Source organism: Homo sapiens, chromosome 5 (assembly GCF_000001405.40).
Source record: "Homo sapiens chromosome 5, GRCh38.p14 Primary Assembly".
NCBI classification, from domain to species: Eukaryota; Metazoa; Chordata; class Mammalia; order Primates; family Hominidae; genus Homo; species Homo sapiens.
In genome coordinates this window covers 171,948,584-171,974,387 of record NC_000005.10, presented here as the reverse complement: position 1 = coordinate 171,974,387, position 25,804 = coordinate 171,948,584, and the positions used below count along the sequence as shown (strand labels likewise).

At 39.2% G+C, this 25,804-nt stretch overlaps 1 protein-coding gene across 11 annotated transcripts in view, besides 3 other annotated features; it reads left to right on the top strand.

Annotated features, from left to right (window-relative positions):
- FBXW11 (F-box and WD repeat domain containing 11) overlaps positions 1-25,804 on the top strand; it is a 145,090-nt gene that overhangs the window by 32,251 nt on the left and 87,035 nt on the right. For 5 of the 11 annotated variants that reach the window (NM_001378975.1, NM_012300.3, NM_001378974.1 and 2 more), the window contains one exon: positions 16,690-16,791. The exons of the other annotated variants lie outside the window; for them this stretch is intronic. In NM_001378975.1, coding sequence (NP_001365904.1) covers positions 16,690-16,791 — 102 coding nt within the window. The remainder of the gene's footprint in view (positions 1-16,689; positions 16,792-25,804) is intronic. 11 annotated transcript variants of the gene reach the window in all.
- Positions 8,301-8,350: an enhancer, noted in NCBI's record as "active region_23617". NCBI's record gives its function as "activates an Ori minimal core promoter by ATAC-STARR-seq in GM12878 lymphoblastoid cells {active_cell/tissue: GM12878}" and the evidence as "EXISTENCE:reporter gene assay evidence [ECO:0000049][PMID:35858748]".
- Positions 8,301-8,623: a biological region, named in NCBI's record as "Sharpr-MPRA regulatory region 1765".
- Positions 8,329-8,623: an enhancer, noted in NCBI's record as "tiled region #1765; HepG2 Activating non-DNase unmatched - State 19:H4K20, and K562 Activating DNase unmatched - State 10:DNaseD". NCBI's record gives its function as "activates a minimal TATA promoter and a strong SV40 promoter by Sharpr-MPRA in HepG2 and K562 cells {active_cell/tissue: HepG2 | K562}" and the evidence as "EXISTENCE:reporter gene assay evidence [ECO:0000049][PMID:27701403]".

The following is a 25,804-nucleotide window of genomic DNA, read 5'->3' as shown; positions in this document are numbered from 1 at the left end:
ATCTCGGCTCACCATAACCTCCGCCTCCTGGGTTCCAGTGATTCTCCTGCCTCAGCCTCCCAAGGAACTGGGATTACAGGCATGTGCCACCACGCCCGGCTAATTTTGTGTTTTTAGTAGAGATGGGGTTTCTCCATGTTGGTCAGGCTGGTCTCAAACTCCTGACCTCAGGTGATTCGCCACCCTCGGTCTCCCAAAGTGCTGGGATTACAGACGTGAGACACTGTGCCTGACCTATGTTTTTACAATATATATTTAAATTAAACATGTAGCTATGAAACATTAAAAGAATCTTCATGTACCACCAAAAATCATCTTGAGTACCAAACTTTGGGAAACATTGCTCTAATCTCCCCTCTTAACTTGATCCATCCATCTATCCATGAATTTCTGTAAAAGATAAGTACTCAAAAACGAAGACTTAAAAACATACACACACATATATATCATTCCATTATTTGCATCTAAAAAACTAATAATTTTTAAATATCAAATAATGTTCATATTTGCCTGTTTCATAAATATATTTTAAATTAATAGTCTATTTTTAGAACAGTTTTAGATTTACAGAAACTTACAGAAAAATTGAGTAGGTTGTACAGAATTCTCAATCCCCCTTACCTCCCCAACACTCCCCAGTTTTCATTATGATTAGCATTTATGTTAGTGTGATACATTGTTACAATCAATGAACCAGTATTGATGCATTATTATTAACTAAAGTCCAAGATTTATTCAGATTTCCTTAGTTTTTACTTAATGTCCTTTTTCTGGTCTATGATCTCATCCAGGATACCATCCTTACACTTTGCTGTTGTGTGTCCTTAAGCTGCTCTTGGCTGTTATGGTTTCTCAGACTGTCCTCTTTTTTTATGACCTTGACTGTTTTGAGGAGTACCACTCAGGTACATTGTAGGATGCCCTCTATTGGAATTTGTCTTTAGCTTTCCTCAAATTATTGCATTAGCTTGTCTTTTGAATTCAGGATCCAGACTTAGGTCACAGATTGCTTATAGTGAATAGTTTCTTATATCTCTTTGAATCTATAAAAATCGCCTCTCCCATCTTTTTTTCCTTGCCATTTATTTATTGAAGAAGCTAGGTTGCTTATTTGTTCTGTATAACTTCCCACTTTCTGGGTGTTGCAGATTATGTTCTCATTTGGTCTACATATTTTGTTCCTCTTTGTATTTCTTATAAATTTTAGCTAGATCAGAGGCTGGTTAGATTCAAGTTCAGTGTGTTTTTGCCTCAATTAAAAAACAGAATGAAATAAAACCCAAAACAAACCTGTGATCTTTCCACTGTGCCACAGTACTCTCTCTTTTGTGATATTCTGTATTCTTTCCAAGTAAGTGGTCCTTGAAAGCACAGTACTTCTGTGCATATGCGTTCTTCTGAGTTAAAGCCTACACAGTTTATTTATGATAGATGGTGAAGCAATAACCTGGCTGCTGGAATGTCCACAGGTGGTTGTTAGTTTGCCAAAGTCAATGATGACACATTTCATGGCACTAACAACTGGTATTAAAGTTTTAGTCCTGGCCAGGCACGGTGGCTCACGCCTGTAATCCCAGCACTTTGGGAGGCCGAGGTGGGTGGATCACCTGAGGTCAGGAGTTCAAGACCAGCCTGGCCAACATGGGGAAACCCCATCTCTACTAAAAATACAAAAATTAGCTAGGTGTGGTGGTGGGCGCCTGTAATCCCAGCTACTTGGGAGGCTGAGGCAGGAGAATCACTTGAAGCCAGGAAGCGGAGGTTGCAGTGAGCCAAGATCGCGTCATTGCACTCCAGCCTGGGTGACAGAGTGAGGCTCTGTCTCAAAAAAAAAAAAGTTTTAGTCCTATAGTTTTAACTTTTTTTTTTTTTTTTTTTTTTTTTTATGAGACAGAGTCTCACTCTGTTGCCCAGGGTGGAGTGCAGTGGCATGATCTTGGCTCACTGTAGCCTTGACCTCCGGGGCTCAAGCGATCCTCCTACTTCAGCTTCCCTAGTAGCTGGGACCAGAGGTGTGCGCCACCACACCCGGCTTATTTATTTATTTATTTATTTATTTATTTATTTATTTTTGTAGAGACGAGGTCTCATTGTGTTGACCAGGCTGGTCTCAAACTCCTGGGCTCAAGCAATTCTCCTGCCTCAGCCTCCCCAAATTCTGGGATTACAGGTGTGAGCTGTCCAGACTGGAATGCAGTAACAGTTTCGGCTAACTGCAGCCTCGACTTCCCAGGCTCATGTGATTTTCCCACCTCAGCCTTCAGAGTAGCTGTGCTACAGGTGTACACCACCACGCCCAGCTAAATTTTTGTATCTTTTGTAGAGACAGGGTTTCACCGTGTTGCCCAGGCTGGTCTCAAACTCCTGGGCTCAAGCAATTCTCCTGTGTCAGCCTCCCAAAATTCTGGGATTACAGGTGTGAGCTGTCCAGGCTGGAATGCAATAACACAATCTCGGCTCACTGCAGCCTCGACTTCCCAGGCTCAGGTGATTTTCCCACCTCAGCCTTCTGAGTAGCTGGTGCTACAGTTGTACACCACCAGGCCCAGCTAATTTTTTGTATCTTTTGTAGAGATAAGGTTTCACTGTGTTGCCCAAGCTGGTGTTGAACTCCTGTGCTCAAGCAGTCCACCCTCCTTGGCCTGCCAAAGTGTTGGGATTACAGGTGTGAGCCACCATGCCCAGCCTCCCTATAGTTGTTAATTTTCAACTTTTCCCTTTTTCTCAGTTCAAAAATGTAATAAATTTTTTTTTTTCCTCCTCACTGCCTGCAAAAACGTAATGACTTTTGCTGCTGGTAACATATACAGAAACCTTAGTTTATTTCAGAAAAAGGATTTGAGTGATTACAGTGACATATACAGTGTAGGAAGATTAAAAACAAAATAAGTGGGAAAATGAAGATGAAAGGAAAAATAGGACAAAAAGATGAAGTCAGGGGTAAAGTTACATACAACGCATGGAAAAAGGGTCTTAAAGGAGGGGCACAGATGAGACTCTGCTTGTAATAGTAGTACTCTGTTTCTGCAGTAGTTTATAAGACTTTTGTAACCTTAGATGATAAATATATTCCTTTGTGAGAAGTTCCAGAGTGTTGTTTTCTGTCCATATTCATGTGTACACATGCAAAAAGCATCTGTAAACCTATAGATTGACTTTATTGTTGCAGGTGTTAAGCCATAACTATCTGCTGTTAAGACTGGGTGCTTTCAAGTGGTGTGTACTGACAGCACAGTGTGAGAGATTTAGAGGAACTAGACTAGAAAAATATTTTAAGAACATGGACAAAATGGTCTATAAAGTCTGTAAGGTCCCTTTCAGCTCCAGCATTTAGCGAAATTCCTTGCTTCAAGTCGTGAGAACTCCCCTTTTCCAGTTGCCTGCAGGATTCAAACAATGTGAAGGGAATCAAAGACATCCTTGCTGTGCAGCAAGCAGCAGGAGTCCCTTACTCTAAGGCTGTCCTAGCCCCTGCCTGAAAGACAAATTAATTTCTTAGAGCCCAGTGGACTGTAAGGCACACATTTTATTTTTATTTGAAACCAAGGTCAGCTTAGGATATAAGAACAATGAACTATATGAAGAAGAGCAAGTGTAAACTTTACTGTAAAATTAAGGGATGATAAAATGTGCCACTTTATTATCTTTGACAACTCGCTTTTCATGCTGTTCTTAGCTAAAGAAGCAAAATTTTTATTACCATTGTTTTCCAAATCTCTGTGTGGGCGTATGTATATAAAATTAAAACACTACTAACTTGGAACATGTATTTATTTGGTGTAGGGGCCTGTTAAGTCTTTGAAAATAAATGTTGTATGTATTCAAGAAATGAGTAGTGTTTATAAAATAGTAGAGGGCTTGTTTAAATGATGTAAGGTTTGAATTTGTATTAGTTTGTTCTCATACTGCATAAAGAGCTACCCGAGACTGGGTGGTTTATAAATATTAAGAAAAGAGGTTTAATTGGCTCACAGTTCTGCATGGCTGGGAGGCCTCAGGAAACTTAGAAGCATGGTGGAAGGGGAAGCAGGCATGTCTTACATGGTGGCAGGTGAGAGAGGAGGAACTGTCAAACACTCATAAAACCATCAGATCTCCTGAGAACTCACTCACTATACCAAGAACAGAATGGGGGAGACTGCCTCCATGATCCAGTCACCTCCCACCAAGTCCCTCCTTCGAGGGATTACAATGGGAGATGAGATTTGGGTGGGGACATGAAGCCAAAACATAGCAGAATTCAAAAGATTTTTTAACAGGGCCAACTTTTATTCTGCAGGTACTTTTTCAGAGCTCTCAATGAGACAAGTAGCATGTTAGATGGACTTTCAAAGTCTTTGGAAGTGTTAAGTCTACAAAAGATGTTAAAAATACCACTAATTAAGCCAGGCGTGGTTGCTCATTCCTGTAATACCAGCACTTTGGGAGGCTGAGGTGGGCAGATCACTGGAGGCCAGGAGTTTGAGACCAGCCTGGCCAACACAGTGAAACCCCGTCTCTACTGAAAATAGAAAAAATTAGCTGGGTGTGGTGGTGCACACCTGTAATCCCAGCTCTACTCGGGAGGCTGAGGCATGAGAATCACTTGAACCTGGGAGGCAGAGGTTGCAGTGAGCCGAAATCATGCCAGTGTACTCCAGCCTGGGTGACAGAGCGCAATTTTGTCTGAAAAACAAAAACAAAAAAAGCTGCTAGTTAAGTTTTAATACTCTTGAAGGCAGTGGAACTGCATTTATTTAAAATGTTTCATACTTTAGGAATTTAGCCATCTTTTTCCGTTTAGCAAACCAGGAAATAATTTAAGCAATATGGCTTTATTTGCAGAAATAATTTTTAATACCAGAATATATAGTTTTGAGAATTTTTGTCTATCAAAGCATTTAGTATACTTGATGTTTAGTAAACTTTTTTAAATGACTAAGCAGTTTAAAATGAAAAAGATAAAATAGAAATATGATGTAGTCTGACTATAATTGGGTCAAACCTTTATTGAGAGAAGATACATTTCTCAGGTCATCTTCCAGAAAGTGGTATCTCTTCTTAGAAAAAAATGAGAATGTTCATTACATCAGGAGAAAAAGTTTTCCCTTCCATACATTCTTTTTTTTGGGGGGTGATGGGGGACAGAGTCTCGCTATGTTGCCCAGGCTAGAGCGCGGTGGCGTGATCTCAGCTTACTGCAACCTCTGCCTCCTGGGTTCACATGATTCTTCTGGCTCAGACTCCTGAGCACCTGGGGTTACAGGCATGTGCCACCACGCCTGGCTAATTTTTGTTTTTTTAGTAGAGACAGGGTTTCACCATGTTGGCCAGGCTGGTCTCAAACTCCTGACCTCGTGATCCATCTGCCTCGGCCTCCCAGAGTGCTAGGATTACAGGCATGAGCCACCACGCCCGGCCCCTTCCGTGTGTTCTAATGTTCTTTTAAAAACGTAGTCAACTTTGCCCTCTGTTAAATGAAAGTAGGGTAAGGATTTTGGCTTGGTATATTAGAGGACAATCAGGATCTCGTTGTGCACATATTTCCAGAAATTCTCTGATTAAAGTCTTTTGACTCATGATGGTGGGTAGAAGGAGCAGGAAGCGATGCAGCCAGCACTAGTGTCTTAGATGTTAGGGAAGGGGAAGTTGGATTAACTGAGGGTGGGGACAGGGGCACTAGTATAAATGAGAGCAGATGTCTCTCAGTTCCTAGAAAATGTCTAAAAAACAAATTGGGGTTTTAGTTTTGTCACCTGGAAGACCTCTCAGATGTCATGCGGTATGGACTATATACTGTCACATATTTAGAAGTAGTAACTTAGAAGATACTTAGGAGTTTTCTGACTGGAGATCATCTGTTAGCTATCTAGAAGCCAGAAGCATTGAAATGAATGGAGGAGAGTGTCTTTGTTACCTCAAAGTGCAACCAAATTCTTTTTTTTTTTTTTTGAGACAGAGTCTGGCTCTTTCGCCCAGGCTGGAGTGCAATGGCTGATCTCCGCTCACTGCAAGCTCCGCCTCCCGGGTTCGCACCATTCTCCTGCCTCAGCCTCCCGTGTAGCTGGGACTGCAGGTGCCTGCCACTGTGCCCGGCTAATTTTTTGTATTTTTAGTAGAGACGAGGGGTTTCACCGTGTTAGCCGGGATGGTCTCGATCTCCTGACCTCGTGATCCGCCCACCTCGGCCTCCCAAAGTGCTGGGATTACAGGCGTGAGCCACTGCGCCCGGCAACCAAATTCTTATAGCTGTCCTAACCCTACCTGCTCTCCACCTTCATTAGGAGAATGGTCTACTACAGTCAGGGGGCAAGTTGCTATGATAAGATCCCTAAGTAACTGTGGAAATGCCAATATTCTGTTTAGAGGTGGCTCAGAGGAGAGGGAATGGAGAAGTTTGAGCTGTCAATTGTATGGCCTCATCTGAAAAAATATGGCAGCCCAAAAGAATAAAATAAAAATCACCTGTGTTTAATTCCAGATTTATATGTGTGTGTGTGTGTGTGTGTGTGTGTGTGTGTGTGTATATATATATATATATATATATATATATGCATTTTTTTTTTTTTGAGACAGAGTCTCGCTCTTGTTGCCCAGGCTAGAGTGCAGTGGCGTGATCTTGGCTCACAGCAACCTCCGCCTCCCGGGTTCAAGCGATTCTCCTGCCTCAACCTCCTGAGTAGCTGGGACTTCAGGCGTACCCCACTACACCCAGCTAATTTTGTATTTTTAGTAGAGACGGGGTTTTTCCATGTTGGTCAGGCTAGTCTGGAACTCCCAACCTCAGGTGATCCGCCTGCCTCGGCCTCCCAAAGTGCTGGGATTACAGGCATGAGCCACCATGCCCGGCCTATGTATATATTATATTTATTAAATGAACATGGGATCATAATGTAAGTCCTGGTTTGTTGCCTTTATTCACTTAGTGTTTCTTGAATTCTTTCCGTGTATTGTAACTTTCTTTCTATGCATTAAACTTCCTTTAGTGTCTGTAAATATATTCGTATAGCATGATTTCTATTTAGCAGAAACACAATAGTTTGTCTTATGGGTAATCCCTAATCTGTGGAACCTGTCCCTTTGGTTAGCATTTTCCCTTTGCTATTATGAACAGTGATGTGAATGACATCTTCTTGGCTATATTTTTGGACATTTCTTTATTTTGTCTCCTTGATAAAATTTCTTACATGTGAAATTGCTGAGTCAAATGATGTGCATGAGTTTCAAGTCTTGACTATGTATTGCAGAGTTGCATACCAGAGATTGTATCAATCAGCAATATAGATGAGTGACAGGTAGATAAAATTTGAAAATAAATCAGGGAAACTTGCTGCTCTACGGAGTTTAATGTCAGGTAAAGGAAGTGACGGGCAATTATAGATAAGGGAAGAAAGCAGGGATTTTAGAGTCAGATAGAATGCAGTTTTGCCATTCTTGACCTCTGGCAAGTGATTTGATGTCTGTGGTCCTTAGTTTTTCTTGTCTGTAAAACTCAGCTGCTTGTTTGGCCAGAGGTGGTATGAGAGTTAATGAGTACGGTATAGCCATAGGGTACTCACTTTGTACCCCCTCCCAATTTATCCTTCTTTGTTAATTTTCATGTCATTTAACATTTTTATTGAAAAAGATTAAACTTAGGGTTGAGAGGTCTCGCCCTAGTCCTGAACAACTTTCCTAGTTGGACCACAGCTGCTAACCAACAAAGGCCCAGATGTACTTAGGTGTTAAATTATCTCCAGGCTCAGGATTTATGGATCTTGGAAAAACCTCATTGGGATTGGGTTCAGACTGATTTAACCTTGAGCTTGCTGGGGGATTCTGTTCCCCCTTGGCAGCTGAACCTCACGCTGGTCCTAGTACAACTGAGGATCCATGTGGCTATGCCGGAAATAGATTATTTTGTTACATCCTGTTCTCTGTCATGCTGCTTAGAATAGAGATTCCACTTCCCACCTCAAACATCTAATTCTTTCCTCCTCCAGCTTCTGTAAGAGCTCTGAAAAACTTGGTGACATTTTTGAATCATGGGTGGTAGTTGTAAAGTGGACAAGGATGATTTTTTTTTTCCTTTGGATTTCCTCAGGAATAAACCATTATGATTTTGATGTTTCCAAGGGCCACTAGGTGAAATATTTTTCTAGCACTGAGCATTTAAACACATTTTAAACTGTGGATGTTTAAGATGGACTCAAAATTAATTCCTGGTAAAAGAATATGTTTTTATTTAAATTGTGTATTAGTCCGTTCTCATACTGCTGTAAAGAACTATCTGAGACTGGGTAATTCATAAAGAAGAGGTTTAATTGACTCACAGTTCTGCAGGCTTAACAGGAAGCATGATTGGGAGGCCTTAGGAAACTTACAATCATGGCTGAAGGCAAAGGGGAAACAAGCATGTCTTACCACGCTGATGCAGGAGAGAGGGTGAGAAGGGGGAAGTTCCACACATGTTCAAACAATGAGATTCTGTGAGAACTCACTATCGCGAGAACAGCAAGGGGGACGTCTACCCCCATGAGTCAACCACCTCCTACCAGGCCCCTCCCCTGACACGTGGGGATTACAATTCGAGATATGATTTGGGTGGGGACACAGAGCCAAACTACATGAATATGTTGTGAACTGCCCCATTAAAAAAAAATTGTCAAGTTACTCTTTATAATTAAACAAAATAAGTCATCACTTAAAATTATACTTGGTATTATTAAGGTATTAATATGAGTACTAGGTGGTCATTGGAGAAAAATCGGAAAATATGGATGAATAAAAATTTGAAAAGAACATTACCCTTCATCTCTCTACCAGAGAGATTACAGTGAAGATCCATTTTAGTTTTAATGCTTTTGGGTACTGATATCTTTTTTTTTTTTTTTTTATTTTTAAAGACAAGAGTCTCACTCTGTTGCCCAGGCTGGAGTACAATGGCATGATCTCAGCTCCCTGTAACCTCTGCCTCCTGGGTTCAAGCAATTCTCGTGCCTCAGCCTCCTGAGTAGCTGGGATCATAGGTGCGTGCCACCTGCCTGGCTAATTTTTTGTAATTTTTAGTAGAGACAGGCTTTCACTATGTTGGCCAGGCTGGTCTCAAACTCCTGACATCAAGTAATCTCCTGCCTTGGCCTCCCACAGTGCTGGGATTATAGGCATGAGCCATCTTGCCTGGATGGGTTCTAATATCTTACCTTAGAATAATTCAAGATGAAAATTGTTTGGACATTAATTAAAAAAATTATAGTGGTGTTTAAGCAAAGTTTGGCCTCTGACTTTGAGTCCTGATTCCACTACTTTTGGGCTGTTCTTGAATCTAAAAACTTGGCAGATAGTAAATTTTGGTTTTCCTCATTCTTCTCATCCTTATTTTTTTTCTCCCCTTCCTGCCTACTTCTCTGCATCCCCTTTTCTTCCCTTAACATATATCCCAGCCTGAATATACCCTGTGATATAATATTATGACAAGAACATAATTCTAGAATACAGTTGCTAAGAATTAAAATGTAAACTTTTTGGTTACATGTCACATGTTTACTATCAAATTCTGTTATAATAAAATGCCATTATAAGGAAAAGAAAGTATTTTGCACATTAGGGTAATGGGCCAATATTCAGTTCTATAAAAGGTTATAGAAAATGCCTTAAACCGTGAATTAACTTTTATTTAACAACCTGATTGCTACATTGTGATTCTTGGTTTTAAAAACAATGCATTTATGGTGGTGAGAGTGCTCTTTCTTATAGGTTGCCATCAGACATTAATAGTGGAAGCCTAGGTTCTGAATTTTAGAAGACTCTTCTGAATGCTTTGTCCTTACTTTAATTACAAACACTGCTGCTTCTTGAAAAGCAACAGGCTGAGAGATGAGACACAATAGGATAATTCCTAAGTTGGGTTAACTTTAATGCTTAGTTTATTTGGCAGTCTTCAGCAGAAACTGAATGGGGACTCTAGCTGTCAAGTCTAGGTTTAGAGAGCTGGAGTTATGTACTCCCCTTGAGCCCACCTATTGTCTGATTCATCAAGACCCAGTCCTCACTCATGGCTAGAGATTCCCAGTGGAAAGGGCATTACTGCCAAATGGTTACCCCATGAAATTGATCTTTTATTTCTCTTCTTCATCATTATCATGGCACTCTTTGTTTGATATTCTATCAGTAGGGCCTGGTGGAAGTTTTGTGGGGGGAGAAAAAAGGACCTAGACTGAGTATGAAAGTTGGTAAGTGCTGGTTCTTGTGTCTACTCTTTGTAGCCCATCTGAAAGAAATTGCATTGTTTGTAAAACAAAAATGAGCTGCTATCTTATAGATTCTCGAAGAGACTTATCCTTATTTCTCTGCAAATCATGCTTGGCTGCAGCTGCCAAGGGTCATTCCTTTGCTTAAAACAGTTTAATAGCTGTCTCATCATTGTCTGTAGCAGTGATTTGAATATTAAAATTTTGGATGTCTCACTTAAAGGAATTTAACACATTCAGAACACTCTGGTCTTTAACAAAATCCGTAATATAATATCTATAAAAACATCCTTGGTTTTTGTACTATCTGCTTACACTCTTTGTCATTGGGTTACTGTTGAGCAGACTTCTTTTATCGTTTGCGGCAAATATTCTCCACGAGTTCTAGAAAACATGGGATATTTCTTTGTTGCTGGCTTGATTTGGCTTGGCTTTGGCTTGATGTTATGCTTCACCCCTTACCTCTTAATCTAAAAACCTCCATCCCCTGTCCACCTCCACCTCCATCTCTGTGTTGCATGATCTGTTTCTATTCCTCTCTGACAGATATTGTACAAACTGTGTATCTGCTGAGTTGCAGAAAAAAAAGTCATTCACATTGATGTAAAATTGGATGACACAGCTGAGAAGCATTGGGCCAACTACTGATGGGCTGTAGCACAGAGTTTAAGACCTGTTGTTCTACGGGATTAAGTCACAAGTTTGATAGAGAGACCTCTGGTCCCTCCCTGTCTCTCTAATTAAGCCTTTCTCATCTCACACTTAAGTATTTTAATGCTAAATTAATTGCAGATACTTGCATAGGATGTTTCATTTTTTACCTCTTTGGCTTTGCTTATGCTATGTATTCTTCTTGGAATGTCTTTCTCTTTTTCCCCTGGCTGCCTCCTACTTACCCTTTATGAATTAGTTCAGGCATCCTCTTCCTTTGGGTGGGTTAAGTTCATATTTGTGTGTGTATGTATATATATATGTGTGTGTGTGTGTGTGTGTATGTGTATTTACATTATAAGTTTAAGATTGCCTTCTGTGAGCTCCTGGAGAATAAAGAGAATGTCTTAATTGCTTTACTATGTGCAGATAGATATAAGTTCAGATAAGTTTTTTGGTTAATGGAACAGCCACTCAACTTGATTACTTCAATCATGATGACAGGAGTGAGAAGAAGCTGGTAATGATTCTGTGGGAAGTGGATTAAATAAAAAGATTGGTGGTGGGGGGAGTTATAGAAAACCTATAATAAGGCAGATTTCTAAATCAGAGGTTATAACATTAGAGAGATGATTAACATAAAATACCTCTTTGGGGAAATTTTAAAAGAACTGCTTCTTTGAGAAGGAATCAGGGCAGGAGATTCAAAACAATCCCATCTAAAAACAGACCGAAGTTAGCTTTTGTGAGTTCTTCAAGTGAGCCAATCAGAATACAAGGTGCCTGCAACCACTTTTTCCTTTTGATTTGTGGTTCCTATGGTAATAGGAAGAGAGCCTAGGACATTTTTCTCCTACCTCTTTTAATAAACTTTTTGCTTTTGAAAAATGCCAAAAGAGATTATTCTTTTTGTCTTTACTGACTTATGGTGTTTCTCAGCATAATGGTTTCGATTTAGGTTTTTTTGATTATACGGTGGATATGGCAAAAGTAATAAACACTGTCAGCTTCCCTGGCTAATATTATTTTCTTCAGCTATAGAACCTACAAATATACAATCTAATTAGGTATTAGCTGTTAATATCACAACCCATTATGAATCATTTCCTGTTCTCTGTGAACAACCCTAAATTAGAATATTAATCATTACAAGTAGCTAAATACGAAATTATAACAAATGTATCTTGGCAATTTTTGACCCTCCAAAGTCTTCTGTTAAGTATCCCCACTATGATCCTCCTGGGTTGTTTCTCTTGAGCTCAAGGCTAAAGTCTTAAGGGGAAAGAGGCTTAGTGTGTATTGTTGGCTTAATAAGCAGGTCAATAAGTATTTGTTAAAATTGGTAAATACCCATGGTATCAGGGGTATTCTTCAGACATATTTTAGCAATATGAAAGAACACTGCTCACTTAAAAAAAAAGGACAATCGTCTGTACTGTGAATTTAGCTAATATGAAGAAATCTTTTCATTATTCTAACTGAATAGTTAAGCAATCATGGATAATAGTTATTCTCGAATGATCAACATGGGTTTCCAGCCATGTCCCTAAATTAAAAATTTGAAGCTTCAAGAATCACTTACGGCCAGGAGCCATGGCTCATGCCTTTAATGCCAGCACTTTGGGAGGCCAAGGCAGGCAGATCACCTGAGGTCAGGAGTTCAAGACCAGCCTGGCCAACATGGTGAAACCCCGTCTCTACTAAAAATACAAAAATAAGCCGGGCATGGTGGCAGGTGCCTGTAATCCCAGTTACTCGGGAGGCTGAGGCAGGAGAATTGCTTGAACCTGAGAGATGGAGGTTTCAGTGAGCCAAGATCATGCCACCGCACTCCAGCCTGGGTGACAGAGCGAGGCTCCATCTCAAAAGAAAAAAAAAATCAATTACTGTTGTGGTCCTAGCTGTAATTTAATGCTCTTAGGTTGATGAATGTGGAACTTTTATTTTTATCCATTATTTTCAAATTGGATCAATGTCCTCCTGATCTATTAGATCTAAGACCTAAGAGGAACCTACCTTGTTTTGGCTAGCGGGTACAGACTTTCTTACTAAAAGGTGGGTGTATTTCCTAGAATAGCATTTTCTGTTGAGTAGAGATGATTTTCAGCAATGTGGCTGGTCACTTAGCTTCAAAGTAATTATTGAGTGTGAAAGTAAGCAGTTGTAATACTTTTTAACCACTGTCTGTGTTCTTACCAAATGGAAAACAACACTCGTCTTGAAACTGGAAGTTCCCAGTCCTGGGATGATCTGAGAGTTGAGACTTCTGATTAGTAGATATTGGCAGTTGCATCACACACCAGCTTGGGTGCTGCCTAGGATCAAGCTGTCTCAGTGAAGAGTACTCTTGCCTCAGACCTTAGCACCAACCCAGCACTATGCGATTTTGGATAAGTAAATTACTTCATCTCTGAGCCTGTGTTTCCTCTTCTGAAGGGGAAAGTAATGTCTATTGTGTAGGATTATTGTAAAAATGAGATGAGATATCCTTTATAAAGTATTTAGCATGATGTCAGCATCTAATAAATACTGGCATCATTCTTTATATCTTACAGTATCTACCATAGATATTATGAAGAGAAAATCTTGGAAATCTGACCCTCAGAGGGTCTTTTAAAAATCTTTCCCTGAATATACTAGTTAAATAACAAGCTTCAAAAAGCTTTGAAATATCAGTCTTCTAATAAATGGCTAATGTTTTAAAATCAAGTTCACTGAAAATTTTCTTTATGTTGATTGTTTTCCACATTGTTATGAGTATTGATTAAATCATTAAATGGTTAAAAAGCCTTGATAATATCATTGTTTTTCTAATTTGGATTTAATTTCTTCACCTCTTAATCTAAAATTAGCAGTGCGAGGTTATACTAAATAGTATTTAAAATGCCTTCCTGTTCTCACAATCTGTGATTTTTTGATTTACTGAATGTGAAAAATTGCCTTTTAAAAAGTTTTAGATTCCAACTTATTAGCAGAATCTAATCAATACCTTATGCTTTCATGGTTTTTACCCTTTGAGGCAAATACTATTAACCCTTGCAGAGGGAACCTGACTTTTTACTGAATAAGTAAAAATTGATTTACGTATGAGCTTTGGTGTTAATTTGATATTAGTTGCTGAATCCAGATGTAATCCTTTTTTGTTGTTGTTGTTGAGACAGGATCTCACTCTGTTGCCCAGGCTGGAGTATAGTGCTGCGATCTTGGCTCACTGCAACCTCCACCTTCCAAGCTCAAGCAATCCTCCCACCCCAGCCTTCCGAGCAGCTGGTACTATGGGTGCATACCACCATGCTTGGCTACTTTTGTATTATTTGTAAAGGTGGGGTTTCACCATGTTGCTCAGGCTGGTCTCGAACTCCTGGGCTTAAGTAATCCCACCACCTCGGCCTCCCAAAGTGCTGGGGCTATAGGCGTGAGCCACCTCACCTGGCTAGGTGTAGTCCTTAAACTCTCTTCTTTGCCCATCCACTTGTGATGTATGCTGATGTAAGTATTCTTTTATTAAACATGTGTAAGAATATCTCTGGATAGAGAGTGTTTGTTGTAGTGGAAAGAAAATCAGCTTGTCAGGTTTAATTTACTAGTCCTAATTCTGCCATCAGTTAGCCCTTATTCCCCTGCACCTTGGACAAGTTGCTGGTTTTTTTTCTTTTCTTTTCTTTTCTTTTTTTTTTTTTTGAGGCAGTCTCGCTCAGTCGCTTGGGCTGGAGTGCAGTGGCGTGGTCTTGGCTTACTGCAACCTCTGACTCCCAGGTTCAAGCAATTTTCCTGTCTCAGCCTCCCAAGTAGCTGGGATTACAGGTGTGTGCCACCACACGCCTGGCTAATTTTTGTGTTTTTAGTAGAGACGGGGTTTCACCATGTTGGCCAGGCTTGTCTTCAACTCTTGACCTCAAGTGATCTGACCACCTTGGCTTCCCAAAGTGCTAGGATTATAGGTGTGAGCCACCATTCCTGGTCTGTGTTGCTGTTTTAACAAATCAGGCTCTCCTTTCTGTTTTAATTAAAAAAATTTTTTTCTTAATGGAAAAAAAATTCCATGGGACTCTGCTTGATATCTCTTTCCTGATCATCAGTTTCCTCATCATAAAATGGAATAATACCTATTTTACAGGGTTATTGTGAGAGTTTACTATTTCAGCTGTCTAGCACATAACAGAAGCTTGATAAATGGCAACTACTTTCATTATTTTATTTCATTATTTTATTCAGCACCTTCTGTGGTTGGTACTCTGCAAAGTGTTGAGGCAACAAAATTTGTGTACCTGGAGTTTCAATGATATATTGCCACTGTATTGGCTTTGGAATAAAGGCACACCTTGGAAGTGTGTCATTTTCATTGCTACCAGAAAGCTGCTCAATTTTTTTATTCCATTTGGTTCCTCTGATTTTGTATTCTTTAAATGCCTTTTCTAAGTAATCTCAATATTCCGTGTATCATAGGTGAACTGTAACTAGTAAGTGACAGATACTAGATAGGAACCCAGGTCTCTCTGATTTCAAGCAAAGCTATCTTTGTTTGTATTGCAGTTGGGTGATAATAGAATTTATCCACTAAACCAGAACACTTTTGAGAGTGAAAGTTATGAGGGGACAATAAGTGTCATCCAGGACTATCTCAGGCAAATGAGGGTGTTTGGCTATTCTAATTATAGCTAGAACAAACAAGTTTATGAGCTTGGGTCCAAGACTTCTGGGATGTTTTGGTTGAACCCAAACACTCACCTTTAATTTTTGTTACATGAGTATTGATTTTGCCATAGTAAATTAATTGACTTTATATCTGAATGATTGAACAGTATGGTCTAATGGTTATTAACTTTACAGTATGGTCTAATGGTTATTAAGTAGTAGCCGTAGTACATATGTTCATTTTATATTTTACTTTTTTTCTTAATTCCTTTAAAATCAGCAAGCTTTTAAAAGAGGATCGAAGAGGTAAATTAAATAAGCTTTTTAATTCTTAGTCATGTCAGACGGACTTTGTAAACAAAGTCTAAAATGAAAATCATGACGTTCCAATGTTTTTCCTTTGGGAAGGTGGAGATGTGATGACACTGAAAATCATGCATTTTAAATCACCTCTTTTATTGCCTTTATCTATCAGTCTGTCACCCATCTTTCTTGTTCTTTTTGCCTTATTCTTTAGGTCTCCTGTGATTTTACCTTAGGGAGGTGCAAAACTTTACTCACATGATAAAAGTTGGGGTGATATAAGTTTTCACAATAGCAGCATCATAGTCTTGTGGAAAGAATGTGGGTTTTGGTAGCAGACAAACCAAAGTTTGAAATTCTGGCTCTCCCCTCCTTTGTTGTGTGTCCTTGCGCGAATCACTTAACCTTTGAGCCTCGGTTTCCTTACAATGATATGAGGATTAGAGAACAAATGTAAAGTGCTGGGCAAATAGCACTTTTTGTGGTTTTGTAGGTTCTTAAACAACGATGACAATTATGGTTATGTGACATAGACGAGAAACTGTGGCACTGATGAAATTGTAGTCGACAATCTCACCACTAATCTTGTTTTGCACTCAAACTTTCACAGTTCCCTTTGGTGGGTTTTTGTTTAAACATTCTCTCTGTCCCTCTTGATTCTATTCACTGTACCCTGAGAAATTAGTGGTTGGCAGCAGAAACCTCCTTTCCATAGAACATCAAGTGGGCCCTCCCCCAAGGTTTCAGTGAGCTGTCTGGGACCATCCCTAACCTCCAAACTGCCAAGGGTGCACCCCCTGCCCCAACTAACATTCAAGTTGCCTGTGTGAAGGAGTGATTTGTTGCGGCCTCTAACTGCTTCTTCTCTTCCTTCCTTTTTGTCATCCTGCAGTGTTCTGTGCCAAGGTCTTTGTGGCTAGGCTGCGCCAACCTGGTAGAGAGCATGTGCGCACTGAGTTGCCTGCAGAGCATGCCCAGTGTCAGATGTCTCCAGGTGCCTCTCTTCTTTCTTGTTGTAAATGTGTTTTTACGTATGCCATGAACATTTGTTGAAACTTGCAGTAGTGTGTTTAATCCAATGTTAAGTCTGCTAAATGTTCTGTGTAACCCTCTGCTTTCCTCCAGCCTGGGTGCCCCACATGGAGGAGTTAGTACCAAGAGGGGCCCTTTTGAGCAAACGGGTCTTTGGCTGGGCCCTGTCCTCCCCTTTTCTGCTCCTGCTTTTTACTCTTTTCCCCTCACCTTGAGGTTGTAATTCTCATGTTTAATAGTTGCGCATGTGCCAAAAAAAACTCCTGACATTTTCCATTTGGCTACCTTTAACAGTTCTTTGTTGAGTTGGGAGGGTTTCATAATTAAAGTGGTGATTTTTTTCTATTTTGAAACTCATCCTTTTGGCTTGCTTTCTCTCCCCTCTTCAAAAAAGGAGCGGGGAGGGAATCACTACTGGCATAAAGCCTCAAACTGAAGTTTATAAAGATCATAGCTTTATGCTGCCAATAATTTGTCAGTTTGGGCCACCTCCCAAAGGCCAGATCTGACACCTGTCCTCAGGGTCCACCCAGTTTTCCAGGCCGAGGCCGGCAGAGAATTCCACAGATAAAAGTAAAACTTTTTGGGGGTGGATGGGAAAGGGTTGCTCAGGATAGAACTGTTAGCAGGAGTGCAGCTGGTGACCCTCTCTTGTTGGGGTGGCTTCTAAGAGAGCCAAGGAAGAAAACATTGTAGCTTTATTTCTGAAGCTCTGAGCAAGCATGTGTTTAATTAAATATGGTTTCAGTAGCAATATTCAGTTTTCATCACTGCATATTCCAGACAGTTTGATATATCTTTGAAAAGCCATATTAAATTCCTGGCATCTGGTTGAGACTGTCCTGTTTGAGGAAAACTGCAAAATTAGGCACTGAGTTAGAGGGATATTATTGATGGCATGGGTGACTTTGCTGTTCTCAAGTTTATCTTTCTATTCATGTTTACAATTTTTAAATGGAGCTGGGGAGCCAGGAAGGAGGAAAATGTTCTTCATATTGGAGTCAGGCATTTTATTTACTTATTGGCAAACATTCAGAGTAGCACTGGTGTGGTTATTGATTCAAATTGCTTTCTTTGGGGAACTGTACTGGAACCTCACTAACACAGTTAACTGGAGAGCGAGTTCAATATAAGGCCCAGTTGTCTTTAGATTCTGTATATAAAGGTGGGTTACAAGTCTCACCTTACAAGAACAGGATGCTTCAGTGAGGCTCAGTGTAATGAATATATGTTTACTTTTGGAAAAGCAGCTTCTGTGCATGCGATGTAACTTTTAACAAAAATGTTCTTGGAATGGCAGCCATTATTGCATGTGCTCTCCTTGATGCTGTATAATGGATATTTGCGTTATTATAATAGGTGTATAATAGGTGTATTATAATAGGTGTATTTTTGTCTCTATTTTTCTGGATTAAAAGGAATGTTACAGTTGCTTTTTAGTGGGCTGACCGAGTTTTTTCCAGAACTGGAAATTTAAGAGGGGGAAAAATTGTAGTTGTTAGTGAGGTCTTGAAGTGCGGATTCTTTTTATTGCATTCAGTTAAAAGTAATTGGCCAATGGAAGGCATCATTCAATATATTTTAGTAACAGTATTGTGAGTTCTCTGGAGGTGGGGTGAGTGGGAGGAGGTACACGGGTTCCTACCTTGTTGAAAATGGAAATCCAAATTTGTTAAAAGTTCCTTGACTCATCTTTCTTAGTGAAATTCACTTAAGAAGGAAAAAAAGATTTTTTTTTTTTTGCCTTGATTGGGTCTTATTTCAGTGAGTGGAGCAATATTGTCTTTAGAGACGTGTAGAGTATTCTGTTTACTTAGGTTTAATTTTTGCTAGTATATAATTGAGGGTATGCAGCATAGTAAAATGAACTAAGTACTCAGCTCATTGGCATTAGCAAATCATTACTCTGTTTTGTCCCACATGTGAATGGAAAGTAAACATGTATTAATATTAATGAGCCTGGAAGACTTCCTTCCTCTGTACTCATTTAAGTATTATTTTAATGCCAACATTTCTCCCCTTTACCTCCAGTCTCCAAACAGTGCTAAAATTTCGTGCCTTAATTTGGGTTTGGGCTCTCAAAGAAGGCCTGTTGCTTATATGCTGCATCTTTGGTTTATTGCAAAGATGACTCTTCCTTTGCACACCTTTTAGCAACCTCATATTAGAGCAGGCCTGAGAAGGGAAGGAATAGTTAGGCTACCTGGAGAGAACAGAGCCTGGTTCTTTCCTGGTCTCTGAAGTTCCATGAAAGAGTCCCCCTTAAAATTGTCAGAGTGGACCCACTGATAATTGCAACTTGAGCCCATTGACCTGTCTATATGGCTGAATTTTAGTTTACCTTTCGAAAAAGCCGGAGGGAAGATAGTAGTTGCCCTTAGGCATAATTTACCCATTCCGGAAGTTTCTACCATCGTCTAGAAGGGAAAACAGGTATCAGAGACTTAAAAATCACTCATTACCAACTGTTACATGGTGCTTCACATATATTAGCTTTATGACAACCCTGTGAAGTAGGTGTTCTTATCTCCAATTTTCTGATATGGAAACTGAGTCTGACGTGACTATTTGGCCCAAGATAATGTTTACATAACTGTAAAGTTACTGGCATATGAATCACACACTTGCCTGATTCCCAAACTGGTTTTCTTTCCTCTACTCTGGAATGCTGCTTTTGTAGTTTTCCATGTTGGTTTTATTTGTAGAAACCTCACTATTGACACCTGGTATATGGTTTGTTTAGTTATTAATATTATTTGAAAATAAGAAAAGAAAAACCTGCCAAATTCTGTAGAAAAAAAAAGTTGCCATTCTTTTTGCCAAAATGAGCCCTCCTGAATCTTACAGCTAGTGAGGTTCCTGAGTGGACTTTCTGCAAACTTAATTCCATAAATATTTACTGAGCAATTGGTATGTGCCAGGGCCTCTATTGGTTATCTCTCAACCAAGCTGAACTGAGTCAGTGTTTCATTTGCCTCAGATGTCCTGATTCAACCAGTTGATTGTTATAGCAAATAATCAGGAATTCAGACCATGTGGATTATTGATTTGCCCAGATTCCTGTGGCATGAGAATCATACCAATGTTAATAATAGTATGTATCATTTATTTTCCACGTTCTTTCTATGTGTTGGACTCTAGGAATTGGATTATCTCATTTGATCTTTTATGGAAAAGTTATCTACCTTGCCATTTTTGTATATGAAATTATAGAGGTGAATTGACCTGCCTAAGGTTACACATTTATTTAAGTGGCAGAACTGGGTTAGGAACATAATCTGGATGACTGCAAAGCCAGTGCTCTAGTCACCAGTCTGTAGTGACAACTGCCATTTTAACTTGCAACTGCCATTTTTAGGTTGAAACAAATTCCCCTTAATTTTTGGAGTTAAAAATTTAAAGCCAACACAGCAGCATGATGTAATAGACTGGCAAGTTGTCTTGGGAATGTCATTTGCAGCCTCAGCTGGGGGAGAGTGTTAGTGATAAGCCTTTTGCTGGGGTAGGACTGATTGCTTGGAATGACAGTGAGGATCACGTGAATTGAGTTTGAGTGCCTCCTTCCAAGCTCTAGTGCATATAGTGCTGGGCAGTAAGTAGCACAACTTCTTGACAGCTGCCTTTCTTGTTTCTTTTTTTACTTTTAATAGGTGTAGTGAGCCACAGTGGTCTGAGAATGCCACAGAACTTATCATAGCTTTTGATATAAGAGAATATTTTTTAGAGGAGGGAGATAGCTTGGTAGAAAGAACCCTGGCTTTGGTGCAGACAAACCTCTATTCTAGTCCTGTTCCTACTACTTAATGACTTTGTGATACTGGGCAAGTTACTTTATTTTCCCGAACCCCTGTTTCCTCATCTTTAAAAATCATAAAGGGTTTTTATGAGGTAGAGAAAGATAATTGCCACCTCTTACTGATTCTTACTCTTGGGGGGTATGAAATCCATTTTTTAAATTTACTTGCTCCTGGTTCTCCATGTAAGAAGGAATTTCAGTCTTAGATTCCAGGGCTAGGTAAGGATTAGCTAAAAGACCATGCATATGATAAGGCTGTTTTTGTTCAGGGTCGGTCTGTCTAAGGTCAGACATGGCTGTTTGAATTCATTGCCTCTTGTCTGTTTTCTAATAAGCATTAGGGATTTGTCATTTCTTGTTGATTATCTTAATTATCCTATAGCACTCTGGGTCTGATAATGTGAACGTTTTGGGTTGCTCAGTGGTAGAATCTGTAGTATTTTATAGACACTAAAACCTACATTTTTGGCTGAGCATGGTCGCTTACCCCTATAATTCCAGTGCTTTGTGAGGCCCAGGTGGGAGGATTGCTTGAGGGCAGGAGTTTGAGACCAGCCTTCGCAACATAGCAAGGCCCTACAAACATTTTATTTTTGTATTTTGTCTCTACAAAACAAAATAAAAAATTAGGTGGACATGGTGGCATGTGCCTGTAGTCCTAGCTACTCTGGGAGCTGAGGTTGGGGAATCCCTTGAGCCCAGGAGTTGGAGGTTACAGTGAGCTATGATCACACCACTGCACTCCAGCCTGGGTGACAGAGCAAGAACCTTGTCTCTAAAACAGGGGTGTCCAATCTTTTGTCTTCCCTGGACCACATTGGAAGAAGAATTGTCTTGGACTACACATAAAATTACACTAACACTAACGATAGCTGATGAGCTAAAAAAAAAAATTGCGAAAGAAAAAAAATCTCATAATATTTTAAGAAAGTTTACGAATTTGTGTTGGGCCTCATTCAAAGCCGTCCTGGGGGCCTGCAGGCCACGGGTTTGCTCTAAAAAATATATAAATAGGCTGGGCGCGGTGGCTCACGCCAGTAATCCCAGCAATTTGGGAGGCCGAGGTGGGCGGATCACTTGAGGTCAGGTCAAGACCAGCCTGGCCAACATGGTGAAACCCTGTCTCTACTAAAAATACAAAAAGTAGCTGGGCATGATGATGGGCGCCTGTAATCCTAGCTACTTGGGAGGCTGAGGCAGGAGAATTGCTTGAACCCAGGAGGTGGCGGCTGCAGTGAGCCGAGATTGTACCACTGCACTCCAGCCTGGGTGACAGAGGGAGACTCCGTCTCAAAAAAAAAAAAAAAAAAAAAAATATATATATATATATATATATATATGTATGTACACACAACACACACACACATATACACACACATATATGTGTATGTATATATGGTTAAAAAAAACCACATCTTTCCTCTTTATAAGAAAATTTACGAAATAGACTTTGAAAAAGAAGAAAACGTCCATTGGTAGCGTGAGCATCTACCACCCAGAGAGAACATTTGTTGCTATTTTAGGGCCTTACTTCCTCCTGTCTGTTCGGTAGGGAGGAATCCATCAAATTGTGCAGTGTTATTCTGCTGCTGCTGATTTTAACAGTGGTATTTTTAATGCCCTGTGGAACCCCAGCTTGACTTTGGAGTCACTAGAGGGATAAAGGAGGGGCTAGCACAGTGTGCCTCCTACTTCGATCTCACTTAGAATGGCTCTGGATTTATCTATTCTACTTAATGGGGCTCTTAGGAAGATTTCATTTTAAAAACTTTCTCCTTATAGAAATAGCTAAACACACAAAAATAAGAGAATTATTCAACTTAATCTTGAACAGTTTTCAAAATTATGCTAATCTTAGTTCAACTTTTCTTCAATTTTGTTTTTCTTGGGGCATTTTAAAAGCAAACCTAAAATGCCTCAAAGTTTTACAAACCACTGTTTCATGCTAGCATTAAAAAATTTTTAAACAAGCTTCAAGAAATTAAAAATAAAGGCCAGGCATGATGGTTCACACCTGTAATCCCAGCACTTTGGGAGGCCCAGGCAAATGGATCACCTGAGGTCACCAACATGGTGAAACCCCGTCTCTACTAAAAATACAAAAATTAGCCAGGTATGGTGGCATGCACCTGTAATCTCAGCTACTCGGGAGGCTACATCACAGGGCTTTAGCATTTTTTTATTTTCAAAAAAAAATAGCCACTTTTTTTCTCTCTCTCTTTTTTTGAGATTGGGTCTTGCTCTGTTGCCCAGGCTGGAGTGCAGTGGTAGGATCATGGCTCACTGCAACCTTGACCTCCCAAGCTCAAGTGATCCCTCGCACTTCAGCCTCCTGAGTAGCTGGGACCACAGGCATGTGCCACCACGCCCAGATAATTTTTCAGTTTTTTGTACAGACAGGGTCTTGATATATTGCCCAGGCTGGTCTCAAACTTCTGGTCTCAAGTGATCCTCCCAATTCAGCCTCCCAAAAGTGTTGGGATTACAGGTGTGAGCCACTGATCCCGGTGGCTAGTTTTCCTTTTGAGGGGCCTTTAGACTACAATTTTTTTTTTGTCTTTTGTGGCGGGGGTTGTATTATAGGAACTTCAGTGATTTCATTGCATATGTATCTTTAGGCTTGTACGATTTTGTATGTGTAATTGCTTGGTCAAGGAATATCAGTATTTTATTATGACTTAATTAAATTATATACAGAAAAGTTTAGTAATCTCTCCCTTCTAATCCCTTCCTTCCCCCTAAGAAACGAATGTTAACATTTTGTTCTTTATCATTGTATATTTGTTTTCTTTGTTCATAGGAGGGTATGCAATCTGACAACTATCAGAATTCCCTCATTTAAATTAAAAAAAAATTATTTATTTATGTATTTTTTTGAGACCGAGTCTAACTCTGTTACCCAGGCTAGAGTGTAGTGGCATGATCTGGGCTCATTGCAGCCTCTGCCTCCCAGGTTCAAGTGATCCTCCTGCCTCAGCCTCCTGAATAGGTGGGACGACAGGTGTGCGCCACCACGCCTGGCTAATTTTTTGTATTTTAAGTGGAGACGAGATTTTGCCACGTTGGCCAGGCTGTTCTCGAACTCCTGACCTCAGGTGGTCTGCCCGCCTCAGCCTCCCAAAGTGCTGGGATTACAGGCATGAGCCACCGCACCCAGCCATTTTTTTTTGAATAGAGGAAATGGGCTCACCCTAGAAAAATCACAATACGGGGTCACTTATTTGCTTTATTTATTTAACATTATGTTATAGACATGTCCCCAGATTAGTAAAGTCTAACTCTTTCATGAATGGTACTTTTATCATCCCTAGATTTTAGGGGTGGAGGCGAGAGTACAGGTGTTTTTTTTTTTCTTTCCATTTTTGAAGTATAAAGTGTATATAGAAAAGTTCAAAAATCTTAAGTGTGTACAGCTCAGTGATTTATCTTAAAGTGAACAGTGCTTTATTTTGATAGGTATGGCTAAATTGCTTTCATGGAAGATAGACCCATTTATATTCCAAGCATTGCCATAACCCCTGAATATCATTTAAAAATGTTTAAGGTGTACTTTAAAAGTATTACTAAAAATAACATACTTGTTCAAAGTTAAACCAATAAATAAAAACTGGCAAATAGTAACATGATGAATTAAGATTTTCTATCATCATTTAAAATCATTGTATAATATTCCATTTAATAAATATATTAATGATTTTAAGAAAACTTCCCTTCCATATTAAGACTGCTACCAGTTTTGAGACATTTTAAGCCATGTGGAGTTAAGCATCATTGTAATTAAGTCTTTGTATACTTCTGTGATTATTTTCTTAGGTAAGACAGTGTGCACATTTAGGTTGCTAACTTGTACTTTTGAGAAGCTGGGTAAAATTATACTCTTAAAAGCAGCCCATCAGAGATCCCTTTTCATACTCTAGATGACATTGAATATTTTAATTTTGTACTTTGTTGAGATTTTGATGGATGAAAATGCAGAAATGGTATCTTGTTATAATGTACATTTAATTGCTAATGGGTTGGAATATATGTATACATAAAAATATTCATTGGCCATTTCTGTGGTTGTTATATGAGTTACCTCTTCATGTTCTTTTTTCCATTTTTCTAATGATGGCCTTATTTAAAAAATCTGATTTATAGGAACTCTTTATATATTAAATATATTAACTGTTATTTATTGCAAATACTTCTCCCAGTTTGACATTTGCCTTTCAGTTTTTTAATAATGGTTTTGGCCATGATGAAAGTTTTGAAAAAATGTTTACTTTTTGTGTGGCTATACTTGTTCCTTTCTTATAATATTCTTCTAGTGGTTTATAGCATTGTGCTTTGCAATCTTTCATTTTCTCTGTAATTTATTTTCCTATATGCTGTGAATTAGGGATGCACATTCTTTCTGAATGACCTATCAGTTGTCTGCATACTATTTACTGATCTAGTGTTTTTTCATTGATTTGATATCATATGCGCATGTTTCACTTCCTTGTGTCCAATGATGTGAAGTCACCGAAGCCTTCTTCAAGCTTTTATTCTTCTTCACCTTCCTATTATTATCATCAGCCATCAACCTTTGTAAGCTCATCATCCACAACTGTATCATGCTGTCTTTTATATGTTGTACTAGTTTGAAAGTGTCTTACTGATGATATGGACTTTGAAAGTTTAGTGTCAAACGTTATTCCTATGCATTGAAATTTCCATGTCATATTTTCTGAAAACAGTGAGGATGACTTGGTGATCTGAGAATTTGAAGCAGCAGGAAAAACAGCAAATAAATTAATATTTTAGAGAAAGTTTTAATGATAACACAATGCCTGCATATAGTACTAGCACTAAGAAATCACATTCCCTTTGGAAGAGAGCCTGTGCTATGGGAGAATGAAAACTATACCTTGCCTTACTAGCAGTTGTAATTTATGGTTTCCAAAACAATGTGTATGATAGATTAAGGTTTCACAGTATAATTTGAGGATAGGGACGTGGGTAAATGGAATTCAGAACACATTAAAAAACGTCTTTTTAATTCTTGAACAAAAATGTCATGTACCTGATACTATAGACATTTATTATGTTGCTTGTAAGAGTGCTTGGTTTATTTATTTCTGTTGGTTTATATTTACTGTTCATTCTGTTTATGAAAATAACTTTTTTTGTTTGATTTTTGTTGTTGTTGTTGTTT